Below are 4780 nucleotides of genomic sequence, written 5' to 3'. Positions count from 1 at the left end.
AGAGATCTTAAAACAATATTGAAAGAGAAATGGTTAATAAAATGAGTAACACATGGTCTTCAGAGAAGAGATTTTTAGGTGTGGGAAGAGGTCATAAGAACAGTTTTCAGAGATGGGAGAAACTTATAGAAATACTAGGCTTGTCTCACACATTAGTGAGTGTCCTATTATTGAAAAAATTCAAGTAGAATGCATGATGAGTGCCAGAGATCTTATGAAAAGGATAGGGAATGCTTGATGACTACTGAAATCCCTTTAAATTCTTCACATTCTTGGATTTGAAGTGAAACTCTTTATTGATGAGGTGGTCTGTCTTGTAAAATAGCGAGTCCTTTTTCACGTTTTCAAGATGAGTCTCGGGAATCCAGCCTCAGACAGGAGGTTGGCCCAGACGACTCCCAGGTTTCCTATCAATCTAGGACTTGGTGATGTCTATCTGGAATGTTAAACACAGAAACGTTTTCACTGGGTAATAAGTTAATGTTGGTGATTGTGTTTAACTCTAATGCTGTACAGGTCTTGTGAAACAATAAGAAAAACCTAGCGATTCTGTTTAATTCAGATTTAGTGAAAAACAAAACAAAAACCTAGTGAGCTCAAATTAGGAGTATGAAAGCAGAAAACTATGAACTTTTGTTTTTCCAACTTCACTTTCCTACTGCTGTATTCAAAAACATACAAAAGTAGATGCAGAGTTCAAAGAAGAATATTGGTCAACAACAGTTCTATCCCTAGATGAGCCTCTGAGGCAGAAGAGCAATGATACACAGAAATAATGAGAGGAGATTTCTATCCACTCAGTATATTTTCACCTGAGAAAAGAACTGTCCTAAATAAAGGGATGGAAGCATAACCCCCCATCCCATCAACACACACACGCTCACCCATGTGCGCGCGCACACACACACACACACACAGAGGCATATGAACAAACACAAAAGCATGCACACTTGGTGCAGATTGTAAATGGATCATTCACCTCTGCATTAGCATTCTGGCTCTATATTTCTCAGCACAATACAGTTGAGATGAGGAGATTTCTCCTCAAGGAAGAAAATGTACATAGTATGGCAAGGATAATTCACCTAACAATTCAGAAAGAAAGGAAGAAACAAGCATTAATTGGATAATTAATTTTCCTTCAGCTAAGTCATTTAATTTTCATGTCAACCAAGGTCTCTCTTATCCCTAAATCTACAGGTTTTCCAACATGTTCTATTCTTATATTCTAGGCGTCTAACTTGTTCTCTGCCTCTCCTGCCTTATTTTTCTCTGTGATTCTCTTTACTTTGTTTTCTATTGATAATTCCTCAATCTCACCAATTCTACCTATCTGTATAACTGGACAGCAGGGTTATACTGCATCTAAAATTGGATTTTATTAGTTTATATTTGTTTCTGCCACTTAACCATTTAATCCAGAAAAGTTGCCTAACTTTTCTCTCTGAGCCTCAGTTTCCTCATGTGAATGAAGCCAATAATAGTATTATTTTCGAAGGTTTACTGTGAATACATATGTAAAGCACTTAGAACTATGCCTGCCATTTTATTTGCAATTCTTCCTCCTCTTTTTTTTTTTTTTTTTTTTTAGCTAGAAGGGACTTTTTATTGAAAGGCGAGGCTCCGGCCTCTGATGGGAGCTACAACTGGATCTCGCGGAACGCCCGCTTCTCCCCCAGCTTCACCTTGTACCTGGGTTTGAACTTGGCTCTCTGTCGAGGCTGGATCATATTCCTCCTCTGGAAGCTCTTGAACCGGCCTCGAAGGATGTCGCCCTCGGGCTTCAGGGTCCTGAGCGAGTCTGCCAGCTCCGAGCTCAGCTGCACGTCGATGTCAGGTGCCTGGTACTTGAGCCGCCCCAGCCTTCGGGGCTTGTCAGCCTCGGCCTTCCGCCGTGCCTGCCGCTGCCTCCGCCGCCGCGCCAGCTCCGCCAGCCTCAGGGCCACCTGGGCCTTGATCCCGCGCAGCAGGAACACCTCCCGGTGCCGGGGCCGGAGCCTGGCAGTCCGCAACGCGGCCTGCTGTACCCGCAGCCTGCGCGCAGCCTTCTCCCGCCGCCGCTGCTGCTCCGTCTCCTTCTCTGTGGCGGCCAGGCGGGTGGGCGTGGGACAGACCTCGGCATCCCCAGCCTCCGGCCCCTCGCCCTGGCCTGGCTCCCCCGGACCCTCTGACTCCTCCAGCAGCCCCTCGCACGGCTACCTGGAACGTGGACTCCTGGGTGGCGGCCTGCTCTGTGGCGGGCAGGGCCAGCTGCCGCTCCAGCTTCTCCGCCTCCTTCTGCCGCTGCAACTCCACCTCGTGGGCCGCTGAGAGCAGGGTCTGGTGGTCTTCAAAGTACGGGTTGTAGGAAGCTCCGGCAGGCGCCACCTCCACGGCGGGTGCCTGGGACGGCTTGGTGTGCAGGCGTGGTGGCCGCTTCACTCCTTTCTTCTTGGTCTGCTCCAGGAAAAACTCATCCTGGCCAAACAATGGCCAGTCCAGGGGGTTGTCTGATGCCCAGAGTTCGTAGAAGGGCCGCTCCACGGTGTCCTGGGGCCCGGGCTTGGCCCCGGCTGTGGGAGGGTTGAGGAGCCGGGCCTGGGCCCTGCGCACCTCCCGGGGCAGCTCGCCCTGCTTGGCCAGATTCTCCCATAGCTGCTCCTTCCGCCTGAGCTTCTTGGCGTTCGGGACCTGGTGGGCGAGGACGTCTTTGGGGGCAGGGACTTTGGATGTGTCTCGAGGATGAGGTCAACCCGAAGGGGTTTCTTGAGAAGCAGTGACTTCTTCTGGACTTTGGTTCTCTTCTTAGCCCTTTTTCCTTGGAGCCGGTGTCCACGAAGAAGAGTTTTTCATTTGGGGCCTCTCTCAACAAGCCACCGCTCATGCGCCCCTGTAGCCGCACGTCTTCCAGGAACTGGTCAACCTCCAGCCCCAGCGGCTCCTGCGCAAGCCTCCGCCAGTCCCACTTCTTATTTCTTGGGCCTCGCCGCCGCCGCCGCCTCAGCGCTGGGTCCGCCGAAATGGGCCGCAGCCCCAGGAAACCAGAATCGTTATCGCTTTTCGAGCTGTGCTTCCCACCAACGCCACTGCCTCCTGCCGCCATCTTGTCAAAGGCCCTCCTCTATCTTATTTCTTACTGCTTCCTTTTCTCTTTTGAAATATATACATTTTAATCTATTATATCAAGTTACTTAAAAATATCTACCAGAAACATGAAAAATGTGCTATGAATAGTAAAATTTGGCATAACACTGAGTTCATTAATTCACAATGTGGATCTCCTTTATATAACAAATAAATACAAGAATATGTAACAAATAAGATATAACAAGATACAAGACTAAGAGATGAGCAGCCATGGTGGGAAAGAGGTATCTCATATGTATTCACGGGAAGGCGAGATTTTGAAGGATTAGAAAAGTTGTTGAAATGGAACTGATAACGTAAGAAAGGAGTCACATTCCAAGCAAAAATCCCACTTACAAATTTCCATTTAATATAAAATACAAAGGTTATGGTATTTATCCAATGCTGTTTGTCAGTCCCTTCAGTTTACATAATTGACGTAATTCTTTTGAGAACTAACCGTTCAATGACGTCTGTCAGTCTTCGAAAATAAAATATGAAGACAGACACAAGACAAGATGGCGACTAGATGCAGCCAGAAAGTGCTGCTCCCATTAAAAGAGATCAAATTGTCAAACAAACCAACGTAATTTGGGCAGGTCTTTTGAGAAAACATTGAGAGTGGATAGAGGTAATGCTGAAGCCCATGCTGGAAAGGGAGGGAGATGGGAACCCTGTGTGGGGTACGCTTAACACTAGGGTTAGTAGTTCCTGGCCCTTAACAGCTCCTGGGCAAGAGATGAGTTAGGGAACTGAGGGGTACCTCACTCTTGCTGAAGACCTCTGGAATCCTAGATACAGGGGGCCTCACACCCCCCATAGTTGTGTGAGCTGGTATTAGGATGTCCCTGAGGAGCAAACAGAGACAGGTGTTTGGACAGTGTGGAGCTTGGGAGCTTTCGTATACTGAAAAGCTCTGGCAGAGTGTAGTCATAGACATCAATCCCCCAGGGTACCCCATCTGCCTCTGGAAGGCTGTCACCCCAGCTGACCACTGAGCCAACGGGGAGTATGGCCAGTTCTCCTGTGGGACTGGGGCACATCTGTTCTGAAAACCCTTCTGCCTGCTGGTCCATCTCAAGGCCCATGCCCAGCCACCCTGTAGGAGCGGGTGCATAGAGCAGCCTCACAGCCCAGTCTGGACGCATAGCTCCACCAGAGTACTTTTTGGGTAACCAGGGAACACATTGGTTTTCCCAGTGCAATTGGAGCCTGATTCCAAGTCACAGGACATCCTGTTGCCCACAGGATTGTGATTCATAGCTCAGGAGTACTGAGCCCAAATCTGTGGCCAGCATTTGAGCAGAGGAGGAGCCTCTCAGAGCACTGAAGGGGTGAGATGTGCAGGTTCCTGGGCCAGGATGTTCATGGAGCATGCCTCCCTCCACAGGGCTGGTCCACAAAGGGTGTGGCCTGTCTCCCTGCCACAGCCTCAGCCCTAGGGAACCCTGCAGCCTGGGACTTCTCACAAAAGAAATGCAGATGGGGCACCAGTGACCAGAGAAGTTCCCCTCAAGGCCCAGGAGCAGGCCTGGCAGGGCCATCTGTCTCTCCACCCCACCACAGAACACGCCTATGAACACAAGAAAGTACAAAAGAGGCATGCAGCTGTGTATTAGCCTAGCTGCTGGCCATTGCTCTTAATTGCCATCTACTGCCTCACAGCCCAAACTAA

At 49.0% G+C, this 4780-nt stretch overlaps 1 pseudogene across 1 annotated transcript, besides 1 other annotated feature; it reads right to left on the bottom strand.

Annotated features, from left to right (window-relative positions):
• Window positions 1-1489: 1489 nt before the first annotated feature.
• LOC440311 (NOP53 ribosome biogenesis factor pseudogene) lies at window positions 1490-3193 on the bottom strand (annotated as a pseudogene). The gene has a single exon (NR_077061.1). The product of NR_077061.1 is annotated as an NOP53 ribosome biogenesis factor pseudogene (transcript).
• Window positions 2104-2604: an enhancer, noted in NCBI's record as "H3K27ac-H3K4me1 hESC enhancer chr15:95399181-95399681 (GRCh37/hg19 assembly coordinates)". NCBI's record gives its function as "activates a minimal SCP1, AML or CMV promoter by ChIP-STARR-seq in naive H9 embryonic stem cells {active_cell/tissue: H9 hESC(naive)}" and the evidence as "EXISTENCE:reporter gene assay evidence [ECO:0000049][PMID:30033119]".
• Window positions 3194-4780: the final 1587 nt, after the last annotated feature.

The sequence above is a fragment of the Homo sapiens genome, chromosome 15, assembly GCF_000001405.40.
Source record: "Homo sapiens chromosome 15, GRCh38.p14 Primary Assembly".
Taxonomy (NCBI): domain Eukaryota; kingdom Metazoa; phylum Chordata; class Mammalia; order Primates; family Hominidae; genus Homo; species Homo sapiens.
This window is presented reverse-complemented; position numbering and strand designations above follow the sequence as displayed.